At 42.3% G+C, this 20,036-nt stretch overlaps 1 protein-coding gene and 1 long non-coding RNA gene across 60 annotated transcripts in view, besides 4 other annotated features; one reads left to right on the forward strand and one right to left on the reverse strand.

Moving 5' to 3' along the window:
- Positions 1-3,984, reverse strand: part of LRRFIP2 (LRR binding FLII interacting protein 2) — a 123,735-nt gene extending 119,751 nt beyond the window's left edge. For 37 of the 56 annotated variants that reach the window (NM_017724.2, NM_001348308.1, NM_001348304.1 and 34 more), the window contains exons 1-2: positions 3,684-3,984; positions 2,163-2,229 (exon numbers count right to left, since the gene is read on the reverse strand). The gene's annotated coding sequence lies outside the window, so the exon portion shown is untranslated. Of the gene's footprint in view, positions 1-414; positions 651-2,162; positions 2,230-2,340; positions 2,515-2,786; positions 2,840-3,441 lie in introns of those variants that run through there. The other 19 variants (NM_001348311.1, NM_001348309.1, XM_024453824.2 and 16 more) reach the window with 5 other exon arrangements.
- Positions 3,425-4,014: a silencer, noted in NCBI's record as "silent region_14197". NCBI's record gives its function as "represses an Ori minimal core promoter by ATAC-STARR-seq in GM12878 lymphoblastoid cells {active_cell/tissue: GM12878}" and the evidence as "EXISTENCE:reporter gene assay evidence [ECO:0000049][PMID:35858748]".
- Positions 3,466-3,967: an enhancer, noted in NCBI's record as "H3K27ac hESC enhancer chr3:37217333-37217834 (GRCh37/hg19 assembly coordinates)". NCBI's record gives its function as "activates a minimal SCP1, AML or CMV promoter by ChIP-STARR-seq in naive H9 embryonic stem cells {active_cell/tissue: H9 hESC(naive)}" and the evidence as "EXISTENCE:reporter gene assay evidence [ECO:0000049][PMID:30033119]".
- Positions 3,968-4,467: an enhancer, noted in NCBI's record as "H3K27ac hESC enhancer chr3:37217835-37218334 (GRCh37/hg19 assembly coordinates)". NCBI's record gives its function as "activates a minimal SCP1, AML or CMV promoter by ChIP-STARR-seq in naive H9 embryonic stem cells {active_cell/tissue: H9 hESC(naive)}" and the evidence as "EXISTENCE:reporter gene assay evidence [ECO:0000049][PMID:30033119]".
- Positions 4,001-20,036, forward strand: part of LOC105377642 (uncharacterized) — a 33,448-nt gene continuing 17,412 nt past the window's right edge. For 2 of the 4 annotated variants that reach the window (XR_007095869.1, XR_007095871.1), the window contains exon 1: positions 4,001-4,110. This is a non-coding gene — a long non-coding RNA (uncharacterized LOC105377642). Of the gene's footprint in view, positions 4,208-20,036 lie in introns of all 4 variants that reach the window. The other 2 variants (XR_002959625.2, XR_007095870.1) reach the window with 1 other exon arrangement.
- Positions 4,135-4,354: a silencer, noted in NCBI's record as "silent region_14198". NCBI's record gives its function as "represses an Ori minimal core promoter by ATAC-STARR-seq in GM12878 lymphoblastoid cells {active_cell/tissue: GM12878}" and the evidence as "EXISTENCE:reporter gene assay evidence [ECO:0000049][PMID:35858748]".

The following is a 20,036-nucleotide window of genomic DNA, read 5'->3' on the forward strand; positions in this document are numbered from 1 at the left end:
AATACAAAAAGATCTTCATATGCCAAAGATAAGAATGAAAGATACAATATATTTCTCCTAGACATATGTGATTGAATATGGTTGCTTGGATTGGGGGGTTGGGGTAAGGAAAGGCTGGGAGTTTGTGGTGGAAAGCAGACTTTCTTTTCATCATATACCACCTTTTAAAATGTTTTATCAATTTTTAAAAGTCCCATAAACATCTACTGAACCCATGAAATAAGCATTCTCCTTCTATAATGCCATTTCTTCCCCTTCCCTAATTATCTCTACTTTTATCTACTGCTCTCCCTACCACTAGGCTAAAACAAATGCATACATATGTTCCCTATGAAGTGGAATTATCTCTTGACCTCCCCATCAAAATAAATGAATAATGAACTAATGAAGAAGTATAACACATGATCAACCCAGTTTTTAGCCTAGTTGTTTGACTCCTTTGAAGTCCAGCATAATTTATTATAAGCCAAAAAGTTCACAAGGCAAGTTTTGTTCAATTCCTTCCTTCTGAAGTTTTAAAAGTTGAGTTTTATTGGCCGGGCGTGGTGGCTCATCCCTGTAATCCCAGCACTTTGGGAGGCCAAGGCGGGCAGATCACGAGGTCAGGAGATCGAAGCCATCCTGGCTAACAGGGTGAAACCCCGTCTCTACTAAAAAATAAAAAATAAAAAATTAGCTGGGCATGGTGGCGGGCGCCTGTAGTCAAAGCTACTGGGTAGGCTGAGGCAGGAGAATGGCATGAACCCAGAAGGCGGAGCTTGCAGTGAGCCGAGATTGCGCCACTGCACTCCAGCCTGGGCGACAGAGCGAGACTCCACCTAAAAAAAAAAAAAGTTGAGTTTCATTTATTTATTCTTGAGACAGGGTCTCACCCTGTCTCCCTGGCTGGAGTGCAGTGGTGTTTTCAGGGCTCACTGCAGAACTCATGTGGTCTTCCCATCTCAGCCTCACAAGCAGCTGGGACTGCAGGGACACACCACCAGCTAATTTTTTTGTAGAGACAGGGTCTCACTATGTTGCCCAGACTGGTCTTAAACTCCTGGGCTCAAGCAATCCTTCTGCCTTGGCTTCCAAAAGTTGAGTTTTAAATGATGATCACAGATTATATTCTTTATTTGCAGACTGAACAAAGTAGTACATTTTCCCTATTAAAGGACCATCTCTCAATTTAGATGTTCCACATAGAAAGCAACTACCTAAAAGGAAAAAGCTACGAAACAGCCTGTATTTTGCAGGTGCAATGGATGATGATCCTAAGATAAAGACAGAAGAATTTTATTTCCTTCTGAATGATCCTCATCAACATTCCCAGCACACTGCAAGAATTATTTTTTTCTATATATCATCAACTCTGTTGCTTCTCACACTAGGAACAGGGTAAACAATCCACAAAGAGTTCTTCAAGAAATTGCTCCCTCCCTCTTGCTAAATTCATTTCTAATAAAGATTTGTTTTTGTTTTGAGAGACAGAGATACTTTGCCAAATATATTCTCCATATTACCTTTTCCTTTCGTTAACGGAGATACTTAAATCCTGACCTAGGAAGGTTTCCCTTGCATATTTACCTATCAAGACTGTCAGTTACGGTGATTTCCAAAAGGGATTTTCCAAAAGGGAATCTGTGTTCACAGGGAACTGAAACTCTTAAGTCACTATTTAAATTAGCTGGACAAAAATCAAAAGCAACATTAGGGAACACTCTGAATATAATGGATATCCAAAGTAAAAAAAAGATGCCAAAATTTAGTGAAAGAAGTAAAGGAATTTAGTAAGCTAGACCAACAGGATAGACTTGCCATTATTTTTTAACTAAAGTTCTTTATAAATGAAAATCAAGGTAAAAATCAGCTGAACTCTAACAGAAGGAAAAGAAAAACAAGGGTAAGGGTATTAAGAACTCTGTGATTTCAACCTTATTTTACTTAACATTTTTAAAGTCAAAAATGAGCAAATTACATTTCAGCAATAAAAAGCTATTTCTAGTTTAAAGTGAATCCATTCCAATCACAACTTCAATACACACTTTCTTCTAGAACAGAACTTAATAACTCATGTAGTTTCATTCTACATTTTTAAAGACAGAATCACAAAAATGGGTGATGCTTTCCACTCAAAAGACTATTTTGTATAGTGCAAATTCTTTCAGTGAACATTTTCATACCTTAGTGATGGTAGCTCTCCTTTCCACTGACATTTACATCTAGACCCCTTCATTTATCTTCCCACATCTGGCAAAAAAAAAAGGGGGGGAAGGAGTAAAATCAAAGCAATCACTTATAAACCAACAAACTATTCTAAATTCCAGCATTCTGCAAATACTTCAACTTTTATTTCATTACCATTCTTCACGATGATAAATATCCAGCAACAGACCTAACAAAACATAATACAACACTTCCTATAAAATGAGTAAAGAATGCCATCTCATTAGGCAGATACGAACTTAGGTTTCCTCTATTTCAATTTTCAGATTCATAGCAATGATTCACAAAGTGAGTGATCTACCTTCGAAATGAATCACACTTTCTGAAATTCTTATTCTACATATTATAATACTAGGTCATTATCTCTGCATCTGTTAAACAGAGCATGACGTTGGTTAAACAGGGTTAGTGCTGCAAGATATTCAAACCACAACAACCGTGGAGTCCCTGCCAACTAATTCTATTTGCAACACTGCATTCTCCAATAACTGCACTTTTTCATATAGATTTATCCTCAAAATAAAATGTTATCTTGAAAAAATATTATTTTAAACACTGATTAAGAACTTATACATCCATACCCCGCTCTCCTTCTCTCTTGTTTCATTACTACATCCACATTCTCTTCCCATTATGACAACATAAAAAAATTAAGTCACCTTTATCCTTACATATCATTTTTAGTCAATCAATCCACTCTACAATTTTTCTGTTTATAGTAGAAACGCTGAGTCACTAAATGGAAACTCAAAGAAAACCAGCTACTAACAGTTAAGGTTTAGGATACAATATTTATCTAGCCATGTCTCAGCAGCCTGTATTTGTATCTCCCACGGTGAAAAAAGTAAAGCAAACACTTGAACTTTTTTCCCTCTAAGAAAGAAAAAGAAGTGGGTTTCCTTAGGTCCTCCTGCATGCTGCTGGTTACTCACAGGCAGGGCTGACTGGAGTTCTGTAACTTAACAATCTGGGTGTCAATAACGCCTCGTATTAGTCAAGTATTAACCCAGCTAGCGCCTGTTAAACCCGCGCGATCCAGCTCAGGTCAAGGAGGAAGAAGTAAAATTCCCAAAAAATGCTACGCCCTACACCGTCCTGACACCGTTCCCTGGGGGTGCTCGTCCTGGGACAGAACCGTAGTGTGGCGTCTAAGGAGGAAGAGAAGGCGCCTAGGGCACCCGAAACGGAGGGACAGCTGCCCAATTTAATTTCTCCCACAGTGGGAATAACACGTACCTTTTCCCCAGCGCGGTGGAAGGGTGAGCGTTAGAAATCAGACGGGATGTCTGAGAACGCCGCAGGCAGGGGGCGACCCCAGCCCGGGAGCCCGCCGCGGGCCGGCCAGTCCCCAGGGAAGCCCGGCCCCCTAGCCGAGGTCGGAGGCGGCGCGGATCCCACGGGACTGCGGAGGCCGGGAAAAAGGTTCCCAACTCCCCGCTCCCTGCTCCCACCGGGCTGGCGGGAGGAGCGGCCCTTACCTGTGTTAGGGCGCGCGCTGCGACTGCGTCGCTGTCCGGGAAGGGCCGAAGAGCTGCTCGCCCGCCCGGCGCCCGCTGGGGCTATGGGCGAGGGGCGCAGCTGGACGACTCAGTCCTGGGTCCCCGGCCAGGCGGGCGGGGATGGACGCGGCGGCTCCCGGCACTGGCAGCCGGCTAGTCGGTCAGGCCGATGTGCCCTCTGCGCCGCGGCTGAGACAGCGGGAACCGGCCCCGGGAGGAGCCGCAGCCTGAGCGGCCGACTGAGGAGGCGAAGGATGGGCGGGGCCACAGGGTCGACGACCCACTCACCCGGAAGCAGTTGTGGCCGCGACTGCCCGGGAGTGGCGCTTGCCGCGGTCCGGGCTTGCACCCCGCTGGGCAAAGTACCCGGGGCTGTCACACGGCGAGCTGAGCCCTGGGCCGGCGGGTGAGGTTCCCCAAGCGGCGATGCCCCTGGCTCCCTGTTCCGCCATTGCGAGCCGTTAGGGCCAAGCTGGAGGGAGGGCGGCGAGGCGCGGCTGCCGGTAGGGCGGGGCCCTGGGCTGCTGGCGGGGCGGAGGCCGGAGGCGGCCTTGGGCGGGTGGCTTCTCTGGGTCCCACGGTTCCTGCCCAGGCTCTTCGAACCAGGACCAGTGCGGGTAATGTGAATTGACACTTGTTCCGGTTCAGGGCTGCCCCACCCCTGGTTGCCCCAAACCCTGCGGCCTGGTGGGCTTGGGCAAGTGGGCTGGAGTAGCGCTCTGTTAGGAAACGAGTATGCGAGGGAGGGAGGGTGGGTGTGGTCGAAATGCCCAAGCCTCGTTTCAAAAATGAAGACGCATGACCTTAAAATTATTTCTGGAGAAGAATGCTTGCGCGAGAGGTGTGGGGGGGGGGGCGGGGAGCGGGATGGAGGGAGGAGTATAGAGTCTGTTAAAAATCTGATAGACACGGACTTGTTATTTATTCCGGAAATATCTAACGAGGCCCACCAGGTTCAAGGCACTGGGGAAGGACCAGGGTCGTGCATTTGAAAAGCTTACCTTAGTGGAATAGACTGGCTGAAGCAAACAAACAAGGTAATGACAGGTGTAGTATGGCTTTGCAGGAAACACACAGAGTGATGAAAAAGATTTTGTAGACGAAGCCTCTGGCTGGATAGGATGGCTAAAAAAGACCTCTAGGAGGAAGTGATAGTTGAGGAGCCTCCTGACAAAAAAGGCACGAAATACACCTAACCACGACTTTACATACAGGGACTGCAGATTCCAGAACCCCCTGAATAAGCCCACTAATTCCATGTTGAGCACCTGTCTCTAAAGCCTTCTAAGGGCTGTTTCTGTGCTGCCCACTTCCCCTGCAATTTCAGAAGGCTTGATCACCCTTACAGTTTATGGGGGCTGGCACTGTGGCACTAATGGGGGAGGTTCGAGAGACAGGGAGAATTATACCCATCAGCTTTGAGAGACAAATTCTTTACCTTTTCACTGTTTCTATGTCACTATATTTCTCAGAGTCATGAGTAAACATTAAAACTATGATTTTTACGTTGGCATGTTGTGATCTGAATAAAATGATTAATGACATCTTTTGCCAAATTTGTTGAAGACAAAGTGAGAGGATCTATTCAGATGCAGTACCTGAATAATACCAAAAACCCAACACGTATTAAATATTAACGACATAATTAATAGATTGTCTGGATAATACATTAGATTCTCTTGCCCTTTTAATTTTTCTCCTTAGCCACTTGTTTTGATTCATGCAAACCAGCAGAAATATTTTGCATTGTGTTTCTGGGAAAAGGGACTGGGAGGTAGCTAACACTTAATCACCTTCTATTTACACAGCATTGTGCTTCCAGTATTAGGACTAACCTTGAGATATGGGTATCATTATACCCACTTTAGTAACAAAGACATTGAGATTCAGAGAGATTGTGACATACCTAAGGTAGCAAAACTAGTAGCTGGAAGAGCCAAAATTTGAACTCAGATCTCTCTGGCCCTACTAAATGCATCACCATAAATTATTTCATGGGCAATCTTTCCCTGCACCTTAATTGATTTATTTCTGCCAAATGTATGTGTTCCTAGATCTTTATGGAATATTCTGACATGGGAATGCCCCCAGGTCTGTGAGGACTGGCTTCTCTGGGGTTGTATCAATAGATGAAGGAAAATTTTGCAGTTGTTTATACAGTTTGGGGGGTTGAGGTGGTACAATTTGTACATTTTTGTTCCTTTCATAGCAAATTCTTCAGTTTTCTTTGATGAGGCCAAGCAATAAATTTTTTCCTTTCTTAAGAGCAAATACTTATTTTTGTGGTTTTCACAAAAGTTGTCTTTCACAAACACGGTAATACTGTGTTTCACACTGCACATCTCTAAGATGTGAAAGATCATTAGTTCAAACATTAAAAGTAGGATACCACTTTTGAAAGCCTAATATTTGTATTGGTAAAGTGTGTCTGGTCCAGGCACAATGGCTCACACCTGTAATCCCACTACTTTGGGATGCCAAGACAGGTGAATTGCATAAGCTTAGGAGTTCATGACCAGCCTGGGGAACATGGTGAAACCTTGTCTCTACAGAAAATTAGCTGGGCATGGTGGCATGTGCCTGTTAGTCTCAGCTACTTGGGAGACCCAGGTGGGAGGATTGCTTGGGCCCAGGAGGTCAAGGCTGCAGTAAGATGTGATCGTACCACTGTCCTCCAGCCTGCATGACAGAGCAGGACCCTGTCTCCAAAAAAAAAAGTGTGTCTGTGTGTGTGTTAGAAACATTTTTCTAATTTTATTTAACTCCTTACAAGCCTATGGAAACCTGGCAATGTAATTGTCTTTTACTGTGTATATTTGTTTTAAGTTCTCCTTCTAAGAATTCCTATCTAGATTTATTTTTTCATGTTGTTATTTTTTTCTTTTTTACTTTTTATTTGGATATAATTATTAAAAAGTTGCAAAAATAGTATAGCGGGCATGTGTAGTATTTGCCCAGTTTACCCTATTGATATCTTACATATCTATAATACCTTATTAAAACCAGGAAATTGACATACTACAGTCTTTAGGTTTTTAATTTATTTTTATGTTTCATATCAAAAAGTTTCCATTTTGCAGTAATTCATTTTTATTATATTTGACTTGGCCCTTCCTCTCCTAAATTAGCAAATGTTAATAAGCTTGTCCTAGTGCTCATCTTGAATTACAAGTTTATTTTTAAAATTATCTGGGTCAACACAATTGAAAGTGATTTATTTGTAAGGTGGTTGCTTTCTCTGGTCATACTGTTCCATGTCATCCTGCCCTAATAAACCTGCAACATTATACAACTTGTGTGTGTATATTTTAACACATCTTCTGACCACTGCAGTTTTTTCACAGATTGTTATCAAAGGAAAACAGAGGAATACAAGACTCGTCATTTGACTGGATTTTTTAAAAAAGTTTCTAAACATCTAACTGTCAAAACAAGAATACTGGGTGGGCATGGTGGCTAACGCCTTGTAATCCAGCACTTTGAGGGGCCAAGGTGGGCAGATACCTTGAGCAAGAGTTCTAGACCAACCTGGGCAACATGGTGAAATCCTGTCTCTACAAAAAAAAAAAAATATAGCTGGTTGTGGTGGTCCACACCTGTAGTCCCAGCTACTCCAGAGGCTGAGGTGGGTGGAGCACTTGAGTCCTGGAGGTCAAAGCTGCAGTGAGCCATGACTACACCACTGCAAGCCAGCCTGGGTGACAGAGCAAGATCCTACCTCAAAAAAAAAAAAAAAAAAAAAAAAAAAGAATGCTGTGGTTTGTTGGTTAGTGTGCAAAATCTCACTTATGGCTAATTCTGGTTCTACATGGATTCTCCTACCCAGGGCACTCACCCTTTACTCCACCAGAGAATAAACAGGGAAAAAATGAAGGCTAAATTACTTTGTTCAATCTTAGTCTTGAGGAAAGGTTGATGAAAGGGGAAAATTTGGGACTTTGTGTAGGTATCAATTATGTTATGAGCACCTAATCACTGATTATCAAGTGACGGTTTTTCTGCATTATGTACTTACTATAAATGAGTAAAAAACATCCTTCATATTATAGCTTATTTAACAAACTATTATTTATCTGCTGTGTATCAGCAGATAAATCAAGCACCCAATTAGGTACTTGACACAGGGACAAAACAATCTCTGCTCTTAAGGAGCTAGAATTCCAGAGTTTCTGTTGATATATATTTTTTTAATGTTAAGCTCTCACTATGTGCTAGATAATTTGCAAATGCTAGACATCCGACGGGAAGCAAAAACAAAAATGTTTCTTTTTCTTATGAAACTGGTAAGTTAGACAATCTCACAAAAGTACCTTTAAAATCTAACAGGTATTACAAAGGGTAGGTATGTGCTGCCATGAGGGCATAAAAGCATTGGGACTTGACCTAACCTGAGGTATCAGAAATGCCTTCTCCTGGGAATAGATGTTTCAAGCCGAGATTTAAAAGTGCCTCAGAGTATAAACTACATGCAGAGGTGGGGGAAAGCAAGAAAGCACAAATAGACCTCATGATAGAAGCAACAGAGTCCCAGGGACTGAAATGAGAGAATGTGAGATGAGTCTGGAGAGTTAAGGGTCCACCATTCAGGGTCTTAGAGGCTGTGGTAAAGATTCTAATCTTTGTTCCGAAATCTGCAAACCAATCGAGTTTTTAGTGAGAGCAACATGATCAGATTTGTATTTTCAAAAGACCACTCTGACTTCAATGTTAAGAATTCATTCATGCATAGTGTCATGCACCTGTGGTCCCAGCTACTCGGGAGGCTGAGGCACAAGAATCGCTTGAACCGGGGAGGCGTAGGCTGCAGTGAGTCGAGATCATGGCACTGCACTCCAGCCTGGGCCACAGAGTAAGACTTTGCTTCAAAAAAGAAAAATTTTTTAAAAAGAATTCATTTTTGGCCAGGTGTGGTAGCTCACAACTGTAAGCCCAGCACTTTGGGAGGCCAAGGTGAGAGGATTGCTTGCGCCCAGGAGTTTGAGACCAGCCTAAGCAATATAGTGGGACCCCATCTCTACAAAATATAAAAAAATGAAAACATTAGCCAAGTGTGGTGGTGCGCACCTGTAGTCTCAGCTACTCATTCTTTAAATAAATGCATCCTGAAGGCCTGCTATAGACCAAATCCTACTCTGCACACAGAGCACACGGCAGTGGACAACAGACAAATTCCCTATCTGTGAGGATCTTACATACAATATACAAATCATAAATAAGATAATAGTGCTGTAAGAATATTGGAACAGGGTGAGAATGAAAGGGTAGGGTGGAGTTGCTATTTTATAAGCTTGAATCCTATGAAATTACTGATTTTTAAAAATAATTTTTGACCTGAGAATGACATTACACCTTAGGTTTGAATGGTTCAATCCAGTTGTGTGACATTAGGGTCATATGGTTCAACTTAATACTTGGAAGAGTCAGAACTAATGAGGTGATCGAAAGAAAGAGAAGCAAGCCATGTAAATACCTGGGAGAAGAGCATTTGAAGCAAAGGAACAGCAAGTGCAAAGGCCCTAAAACAAAAATGTGCCTGCCATGTTTAAGGAGCAGTAACAAGGCTGAAGAGTAAAGGACAAGTGGGAAGAATGGTAACAGAGGCCAGATCATACTGGTGACCATGGTAACAAATTGGCTTTTCTCCTTTTTTTTTTCCCCCTTAAGACAGGGTCTCACTTTGTCACTCAGGCTGGAGTGCAATGGCGTGCTCATAGCTCACTGCAGTCCTGAACTTCTGGGCTCAAGTGATCTTCCTGCCTTAGCTTCCTTAGTAACTGGGACTACAGGCATCCAGCACCACGCCCAGCTAAGTTTTTTTTTTTAAGAGATGGTATTTCATTATGTTGCCCAGGCTGGTCTTAAACTCCCGCCCGCAAGTGATCCTCCCACCTCAGCCTCCTAAAGTCTTCCAAAATGCTGGGATTACAGACGTGAGCTATCACGCCCAGCCTGGTTTTTCCTCTTTGAGTAAGCTAAGCCGTGGGAGGGTTTTGAGCAGAGGAACTACACATCTGCCATTATTTAAAGGAGTATTCTGTTAATGGTAGAATATAAGTGGTGGATGCAGAAGTGATTGCTGTAAAATTCTTTCAACTTTGCTGTGTGTTTGAAATTTTTCCTAATAAAATAATAGTTTAAACTGGTTATTGTGAATAGACTTTAGGGGAGCAAAGGTGAGAGCAGGAAGACCAGTTAGGCTATAACAATAATTCAGGTAGCAGTGGAAGTGGTAGGAAGTGGTTGGGAGCAGATGTGGTGTTTGAATTACAAGTCAGTAATTCAGAGGAAATACCAGGTAGGAAATACAAATGTATGAATCCACCTAAAGATTAGGAAAACAAGGACAAATGTCTTGAGAATTAAAAGAAAATGCTCAGAAGTGTACCCTAAAGCCTCTTACTCATGCTTTTGTTCTAGGCTGGTTTTGGTTGTAGATAGTTATCAGTTATTATATACTGCCATTCAGATTATTTATATGTATTACTGTCCACAACTCACTTGTGTTCTAAAGGGTTTTTTTTAATAATGTTCTTGTCTTCCCAAGCAGATTACATGCTTTTTGAGAAAAGATCTATTTTTTTGTATACACCCCGCAATGCCATATTCCTAGAAGGCATTTTCAATGTTCACAGAATAAAAATATTTGAATACAGAGCTTTTCATGTCTTTTGTTTTTATAAAACATCAATTTTCTTATAAATGTTTAATTTAGACACTTCTGAAAATGAAGGTAGAGTTAGAATTTTCAATCTGTTGCAACTTATGCCCATTTCAGGTCAGACAAATAAAGAGAGAGCCTTCTGGGGGGTAAAAAAAAAAAAAAAAAAAGGCCCAGGTTTGTGCCTGTAGTAGTAATGTCAGCTACCTCAGGAAGCTTGAGCCCAGGAGTCCAAGGCTTATATGGCACCACAATTGTGCCTGTGAATAGCCACTGCACTCCAGCCTGGGCAACACAGCAAGATCCTGTTTCTTTTAAAAACAAAACAAAACAAAAAAAACCCCAATCAGCTTTTCTCCATATTGGCTTATACTCAGACTTCATCATGTGGCAACAAGACAGTTCTCAAAAACTTTAGTTCTATATTCACTCCAGTCCAAGTCCAGCAAGAGATCCCTTCCAGTAGCTCCTAGATTCACTGAACCAATTACCTTGCTACAGTAATTTGTTAAAGGATAGAGAGTTACCTTCCCATCCTTTAACAAATTACTGTAGCAAGGAAAACTCTTGTGCTATGATTAGCCAAATTTGAGTCATATGCTTTACCTCTGGTCCACCCAAAGATCATGGACTATAGGAGAGGAGTGGTTCCCGGAAGAACAAAATGGAGTACTGTCACCAAAATATAGAAATGGATACTGATGGTGAAAACACAATGCTTACTACACCAACTAACTCAAAGGCCTATGCATTGTTTCTTCCTTAAGCTTTTGAAAGAAGTTAGTCACTGCCATGGCACTCACTTTGAATCTCTTCCAATTCCACACACAATACTGCATTTTTTCCCCTGAATCATCAGGCAGTCATATATTCAGTTGCCATTGAAAAGTAAATGCATGATTATGAAAGTTAACCAGCTGGAAGGGTCAGTATTTCAGTACATCACTTTTCAGGACACTCCCAACTGGTATTGCAGGTAGTTTCTTGTCCTTAAAATTCTTTCCTGTTGTCAAGCTACCTGAAACGTATTTGTCCTCGATACCCTAGGGGCAGGGTGGCTGATAACTAAGGTGCCTGGGAAACACTTCAGAAGCAAGTGACAATGAATTGGCTTAAGAAGCCAATTCATCTTTTAGATGGATATTTATACTGTAGAATCTTGAAAGGAAAATTTATCTACAGATATGTCTGTTTTCAGTTTCTTTTCCTTTTTGCACTAACAAGTTATTTTCCCCACATGACGTTTAATCTACCTTACAAAACATTTTTAACATTTTAGTTCAAAATTTGCTTCAGAAAATGGATGACTTTGGTGTGAAACGATTGTTGACTCTATTATTCTAGAATTTGGGATGGCGCCTCTAGTTTGCTGCTTCCTTGGACACCAAACATAACATTCTCTGTTCTAGGACGTGCTTCAAGTCGGTCATGAGACTGGCAGAAAATCAAACCAAACTAAATGAATGGTTGTTGAAGTTAATCTCCCATCCTGGAGCTGTGCATGCCATGGAGTAGCCAGCTTTTAACAGGCACAATCCTGATCAAAATCACTGCTCTGTGGTCCTGCTCATCAGAATATTATGGAAACTAGATTTAGGCCTGGTTTCCTTAAAAATAGATGTGATAATGAAATAATCATGTATTATAGCCATTACAATTTCTATTGTAGGAGAAAGTGGATAATGTTTTAACGTAAAACAGTAGGTTACTAAACAATATGTTCTAGATGAACATTTAACATTTTTGTTTTAATTAGCCAGGCATGTGTGATGACCTACGCCTGTAGTCCTAGCTACTCAGGAGGCTGAGACGGCAGGATTTGCTTGAGCCCAGGATTTCAAGGTTACAGTGAGCTTTGATCACATCACTGCACTCCAGCCTGGGTGACAGAGCAAGACCCCGTCTCACAAATAATAATACAAATACAGAAAAAATACTAGAAAACACACCCAAATGTTAAGTTTAAGGAATGGAACTATCAGTTATTTTATTTTATTTTTATTTTCAAAAATACTCAAACGTGAAATATACCACATCTGCGGCCGGGCACGGTGGCTCACGCCTGTAATCCCAGCACTTTCGGAGACTGAGCCGGGCAGATCACCCAAGTTAAGGAGTTTGAGACTAGCCTGGCCAACATGGTGAAACGCCGTTTCTACTAAAAATACAAAATTAGCCAGGCGTAGTGGTGCACGCCGGTAATCCCAGCTACTTGGGAGGCTGAGACAGGAGAATCATTTGAACCAAGGAGGCAGAGGTTGCAGTGAGCCGAGATCGAGCCATTGTACTCCAGCCTGGGCGACAAGAACGAAAGTCTGTCTCCAAAAAAAAAAAAAATTGTCTGTTACTGCTATGGTCTGAATGTTGTGTCCTGCCAAAACTCATATGTTGAACTCCTAACCCCCAAGGTGATGGTATTAGAAGGTGGGGCCTTCCTGAGGTGATTAGGCCATGACAGCAGAGCACTCATGAACAGGATTAGTGCCCTTATAAAACAGGCCTAAGAGACACCCCTCCCTGGTCCATAATGTGATAGTAGAATGAGAAAACAGCTGTCTATGAGGAAGCAGATCCTCACCAGACACTGAATCTGCTGGCACCTTGATCTTGGCCTTCTCAGCCTTCAGAATTTTGAGAAATAAATTTCAGTTGTTTATAAGCCACAAAAGCTATATTTTGTTATAGCAGTCCAAATGGACTAAGACAAATACCAATATGACAGAATCAAAATAAAAAACTAAAAATTAAATCTAGGCTGGGCTGTAATCCTGTAATTCCAATGATTTGGGAGGCCAAAGTGGGAGGATCACTTGAACCCAGGAATTTGAGATCAGCCTGGGCAACATAAGGAGACCTCGTTTTTACAAAAAAATGTTTAAAAATTATGCGCGTATGGTGGCACGTGCCTGTAGTTCTAGCTACCTGGGAGGCTGAGGCAGGAGGATCACTAGAGCTAAGGAATTTGAGATTACAGTAAGCTATGATCGTGTCACTCCAGCCTGAGTGACTAAGCAAGACCCTGTCTCAAAAAAAAAAGTCTAATTATGCTTCTTACTGCTCAAAACCATGGTAGATTTCTCTCTTGTCTTGCATACATTTTATTTTATTTTATTTTATTTTTTTTGAGACGGAGTCGCTCTGTCGCCCAGGCTGGAGTGCAGTGGCGCGATCTCGGCTCGCTGCAACCTCTGCCTCCCGGGTTCACGCCATTCTCCTGCCTCAGCTTCCCGAGTAGCTGGGACTACAGGTGCTTGTCACCACACCTGGCTAATTTTATTTTGTATTTTTAGTAGAGACGGGGTTTCACCATGTTACGCAGGATGGTCTCTATCTCCTGACCTCATGATCCTCCCCCCTCGACCTTCCAAAGTGCTGGGATTACAGGCGTGAGCCACGGCGCCCAGCCTTTGCATACATCATTTATTCTTCCATTTAAAAAAAAAAAAGCATGTACAGGGCTGGGTGTGGTGGCTCACCCCTGTAATCCCAGCACTTTGGGAAGCTGAGGCGGGCAGATCACCTGAGGCCAGGAGTTTGAGACCAGCCTGATCAACAGGCTGTAGTAGAAACCCCGTCTCTACTACAAATACAAAATTAGCCAGGTGTGGTGCATGCCCATAATTCCAGCTACTCGGGAGGCTGAGGCAGGAGAATCGCTTGAACCCAGGAGGCAGAGGTTGCATTGAGCCGAGATTGCGCCATTGCACTCCAGCCTGGGCAACAAGAGCAAAACTCCATCTTAAAAAAAAAACAACAGCATGTACAGATTGTACAGATGCTAGGAGTAAAATAAGTATACAGATACAGATGTGGTTACTGTTCCCCCAGAACTAACTGTCTAGAGGAGATATAACAAGTAAGCTAACAGAAACAATCCAGTATGTCACAGTCAATAACAGGGTTTCATGCATCCTCCATCAAAATACCTAAACCTTCTTTTACACATCAAATGCTGGCTTTGATAGCTAAGCTACCAAGCAAGTGAAACTCACACGCAGTGGTAGTGACTGTCAGTCATTGCTTCAGTTTAAGCAGCATCCCTGTGGTTGTCCACATGGTATGGGAGTGTTCAGTTATTTGAGTAGTGTTCAATTATTGGAATATTTATTTGCTCTTATTTTATGAAAATGCAGATGCAAATACTAGTTATAGGAAAAGTAGGTCTTATAAATGTAATCTGAATGACATAAAAATGGAAATCACTAGTAGGGGTGCCAGAGCAGTCAATCTTTAGCCTCAATCAGACACCAAAAATTCATTAAATAAAAGCCAGTAAACTGAGTAAAGGAAAAGGAGAAAATCAGAGAACAGGTAGAAAATCCTGGAAATATTGTTAAGTATGTTTAGAGATTTTGGTCTTACATTTTGGTTCTTCAGGAAAATATTTCTCTTTAAAGCAAAGGAAGTTTATTGTTCAATTTTTTTTTTTTTTTTTTTTTTTTTTGAGGCAGAGCCTTGCTCTGTCACCCAGGATGGAGTGCAAAGGCGCGATCTTACTGCAACTTCAGCCTCCTGGGTTCAATAGATTCTCCTTTCTCCTGCCTCAGCCTCCCAAGTAGCTGGGATTGCAGGTGTGCACCATCACACCCAGCTAATTTTTTTTTTTTTTTTTTAAGACGGAGTCTTGCTCTGTTGACCAGGCTGGAACACAGTGGCGCGATCTTGGCTCACTGCAAGCTCCACCTCCTGGGTTCCCGCCATTCTCCTGCCTCAGCCTCCTGAGTAGCTGGGACTAGGGGCGCCCACCACCACGCCCGGCTAATTTTTTTTTATTTTCAGTAGAGGCTGGGTTTCACCGTGTTAGCCAGGATGGTGTCTATCTCCTGACCTCGTGATCCACCCACCTCGGCCTCCCAAAGTGTTGGGATTACAGGCGTGAGCCACTGTGCCCAGCCAATACCCAGCTAATTTTTGTATTTTTAGTAGAGATGGGGTTTCATTATGTTGGCCAGGCTGGTCTTGAACTCCTGACCTCAGGTGATTCACGTGCCTCGGCCTCCCAAAATGCTGAGATTACAGATGTGAGCCACCATGCCTGGCCTATTGATAGATTTTTATTTTATTATTAATTTTTTAATAGAGACTGGGTCTTGCCATGTTACCCAGGCTGGTCTTGTACTCCTGAGCTCAAGCAATCTTTCCACGTTGGCCTCCCAAAGCACAGAATGTATTTTAAATCACTTATCACACCAATGATGTTAAAATTGACAAGTTCATAATGATACTAAGAAAATAAATTCAGGCCAGGTGCGGTAGCTCACCTGTAATCTGAGCACTTTGGGAGGCCAAAGTGGGGGGATTGCTTGAGCCCAAGAGTTCAAGACCAACCTGGGCAACATAATGAGACTCTGTCTCTACAAAAATTTTTTAAAAAGGAAAGAAATTCACTACTTGCCTATAGAAGTTGCCATGGCAAGTTGCTAATTATATGGTAATGGTAATTGGTAAATAAAGGGAAATAGGCCAGGCGCGGTGGCTCACGCCTGTAATCCCAGCACTTTGGGAGGCCAAGGCGGGCGGATCGCCTGAGGTCAAGAGTTCAAGACCAGCCTGGCCAACATGGTGAAACCCCGTCTCTACTAAAAATACAAAAATTAGCTGGGCATGGTGGCAGGTGCCTGTAATCCCAGCTACTCGGGAGGCTGAGGCAGGAGAATCGCTTGAACCCAGGAGGCAGAGGTTGCAGTGAGCCGAGATCGCGCCATTTGCACTCCAGCCTGGGGGACAAGAGTGAGACTTAGTCTGAAAAAAATAAAATAAAATAAAATAAAATAAAAAAGGGAAATAACCAAACATTTGTTCTGCCTTTGTTGTACAAATTGTATTTCAGGGTAGCCAATGAGTTTTAAAGGAAAAGTCCTTTTGTATAAAATATTTTCAACTAATAAATGTAAAAGAAATGATAGGCCGGGCGCGGTGGCTCACGCCTGTAATCCCAGCACTTTGGGAGGCTGAGGTGGGCAGATCACGAGGTCAAGAGATTGAGACCATCCTGGCCAACATGGTGAAACCCCGTCTCTACTAAAAGTACAAAAATTAGCTGGGCATGGTGGTGCACGCCTGTAGTCCCAGCTACTTGGGAGGCTGAGGCAAGAGACTTGCTTGAACCCGGGAGGCGGAGATTGCAGTGAGCCGAGATCGTGCCACTACACTCCAGCCTGGGTGACAGAGCAAGACTCTGTCTCAAAAAAAAAAAAAAAAGAAAGAAACATAACAATTGAATATAGTATGTGGATCTTTATTTCATAATCCAATTATTTAAAAATAAATTTCTGAGACAATGGGCAAATTTGACTATAGGCTGGATATTAAATTATATTAAGGAATTAATATTAATTACAGATTAATATTTCTGTCAGTGTCTTAATGATACTGTGGTTGTGTTTTTGAAAACAGTTGGCCTGGTGTGGTGGCTCATGCCTATATCCCAGCAATTTGGGAGGCTAAAGCAGGCTGATTGCTTGAGCCCAGGAGGAATTCAAGACTAGCCTAGGTGTCATAGCGAAACCCCATCTCTACAAAAAAATACAAAAATTAGCTGGTCGTGGTGGTGCACATCTGTAGTCTTAGCTACACGGAAGCCTGAGATGGGAGGATCTCTTGAGGCTGGGAGGTGGAGGTTGCAGTAGCCCAGATGGAGTCACAGAGCAATAGAGTGAGTCCCTGTCTCAAACAAGAAAATGGAAAAAAAAAAAAAAAGTCTTTTTCTGTTAGAGACATATACTGAATTATTTAAGGATGAAATTATACGGTCTCCAGTATTTCCTTCAAAATACTTCAGAGGAGAGGAAGTGGCAGCACAGAAGATTAGGAGAGAGTCAATAAATTTTTTTTATTATTTTTTTTTGAGACTGAGTCTCGCTCTGTCGCCCAGGCTGGAGTGCAGTGGTGCGATCTTGGCTCACTGCAAGTTCCGCCTCCCGGGCTCACGCCATTCTCCTGCCTCAGCCTCCCAAGTAGCTGGGACTACAGACGCACGCCACTACGTGCAGCTAATTTTTTTGTATTTTTAGTAGAGACAGGGTTTCACTGTGTTAGCCAGGATGGTCTTGGTCTCCTGACCTCGTGATCCGCCCGCCTCGGCCTCCCAAAGTGCTGGGATTACAGGCGTGAGCCACCGCGCCCGGCCAGTCAATAAATATTAAGGCTTAGTGATGGGTACGCGGGAGCAGGGGAGGAGCATAATACCATTTTTTTTTTTTTTTTTTTTTTTTTTTGAGACAGAGTTTCACTCTGTCGCCCAGGCTGGAGTGCAGTGGCGCAATCTCGGTTCACTGCAACCTCTGCCTCCCAGGTTCAAGCTATTCTCCTGCCTCAGCCTCCCCAGTAGCTGAGATTACAGGTGCGCACCACCACACCCGGCTAATTTTTTTGTATTTTTTAGTAGAGACGGGTTTCACCACGCTGGCCAGGCTGGTCTCAAACTCCTGAGTGATCCGCCCACTTCAGCCTCCCAAAGTGCTGGGATTACATGGGATTACAGGCATAAGTCACTGTGTCTGGCCTTTTTTTTTTTTTTTTTTTTTGTATGTTTGGACATTTTCGTAACAAGAAGTTAAATTTTAAATAAGTAAATAAATAAAGGCTTTAATGCAATTTATGTCTGCACTTGGCTTATGCCCTGGGGAAGAGACTGAATGAATGAATCCAAAGAACTGTAATATCGGGATCCCTGTACCACTTGGTTTTGAGTGCTCTTGTCTAAATGTGTAATCCTGAGGAAAAAGGCATCTCCCTTCCTTTTTTAGTGGAAGGCTTGAAGGAAGGTGTACCAGTATCAGCCCCAGCGAGGACACAAATCTCAATCCAAGTCATTTCTTTCAGATGGCCTATGTGTTAGCAAGAGATCACAGTATTGGTAGCTGGAACTTGGGTTTGAGATGGGCTGCAATTATTTCTGACTGGGGCTTTAGTAGACATAAGGATACTGTGCTGAAATCCTGTGGTCAGCAGTGGAAGTTGACAAAAGGCATGGCTTTTCAAGGGTATAACTTTGACAAAGATATTGCTTTAAAACATTTCAGAATCAGCAGTGACACCGGGCTCTCAGCTTCTGCAGCAGCTAGGGTGATACCTTCCAGAGCAATCAGCTGTGGTTGTGACCACTGTGACTCCTAAGCTTATCAGGGGAAGGAGGTTGAGCTAAGAGGGGAGAAGGAAAGGTCTAGATTTTCCACTAATCTAGGCACATGCAGCTTGAGTTGACAAATGAAAGGCATCCTTATGGTGAGATGTCTTATGTTCCTCAGCTGATGAAGCAGGATTTACTCATTACCTGTTCTTGAATTGTATGATTTTAGTATTATATTTTATGGAAACAACTTTTGACTATGATTCAGAGATGTGACTAGAGTATCTCTGCCACTCCCTTGTCACTTGTGTCATCTTGGGCAGGTTGATCTTCTTTAAATTAAGATAATAAGACCTTGCCTGTCTACCTCCATGGTTGTTGTGAGGATCATAAGAGATAATATATAAAACTATAATTTTTGTAAACTAGCTGTATAAATCTAGGCATCATTATTATTGTAAGTGACTAAGTGATTTACATCTTAAAGCCCCTTATTTTCCTTGATTCTATGTTAACAATAAATGTTTAATTGGTGTGCTATAAAATTAGATAGTTCCAAAACAACTACAAAGAAATTTAGTGTATAGTATGATCTTTCTACGTTCTGCAGTGTTACATAGGAATTCCTGGGAATAAGAAAAATTTTATCCAGTTGCTATTTTATAGTTATATCCTTGACTGTATTCTCATCAATTTAGGAGACAAATAAGTTACTTATTTATTCCATAAATAGTGCCAATTATTTTATAATCTCAATTTAAGAAGTCAATATTTATTATGTTCAATAATGTATAATCAGGCCAGGCACAGTGGCTCATGCCTATAATCCTAGCACTTTGGGAGGCTGAGGCGGGTGGATCATTTGAGGTGAGGAGTTTGAGACCGGCCTGACCAACATGGTGAAACCCCGTCTCTACTAAAAATACAAAAATTAGCTGGCATGGTGGCACTTGCCTGTAGTCCCAGCTACTCAGGAGGCTGAGCCGAGATCGTGCCACTACACTCAAGTCTGGGCAACAGAGCAAGATTCCATCTCAAAAATAAATAAATAAATAAATAAATAAATAAAATACAAAAGTAAACATACAAAAATTAGCTGGGAGTGGTGGTGTGTGCCTGTAATCCCAGCCACTTGGGAGGCTGAGGCAGGAGAATCACTTAAACCCAGGAGGTGGAGGCAAGATCGAACACTGCACTCCAGCCTGGGCAACAGAGCAAGACTCCGTCTCAAATAATAACAATAATAATAATGTATAATCAATCAGAAGATTAGAGCGGAAGTTGGTAAAGTGTGCCCCATAGAATGAATCTGGCCACTGTGGCCTGAAAACTAAGAATCATTTCGACATTTTTTAAATGGTCTTTTTAAAAAAATCAAAGAAGACTATATTATGACATGACACCTGAAAATTATGTAAAATTCAAATTGCAGTATCAGCCAGGTGCAGTGGCTCACACCTGTAATCCCAGCACTTTAGGAGGCCGAGGCAGGTGGATCACCTGAGGTCAGGAGTTCGAGACTAGCCTGACCAACCCCGTCTCTACTAAAAATACAAAAATTAGCCAGGCGTAGTGGCATGTGCCTGTAATCCCAGCTACTCAG

The sequence above is a fragment of the Homo sapiens genome, chromosome 3 (assembly GCF_000001405.40).
Source record: "Homo sapiens chromosome 3, GRCh38.p14 Primary Assembly".
Lineage (NCBI taxonomy): Eukaryota > Metazoa > Chordata > Mammalia > Primates > Hominidae > Homo > Homo sapiens.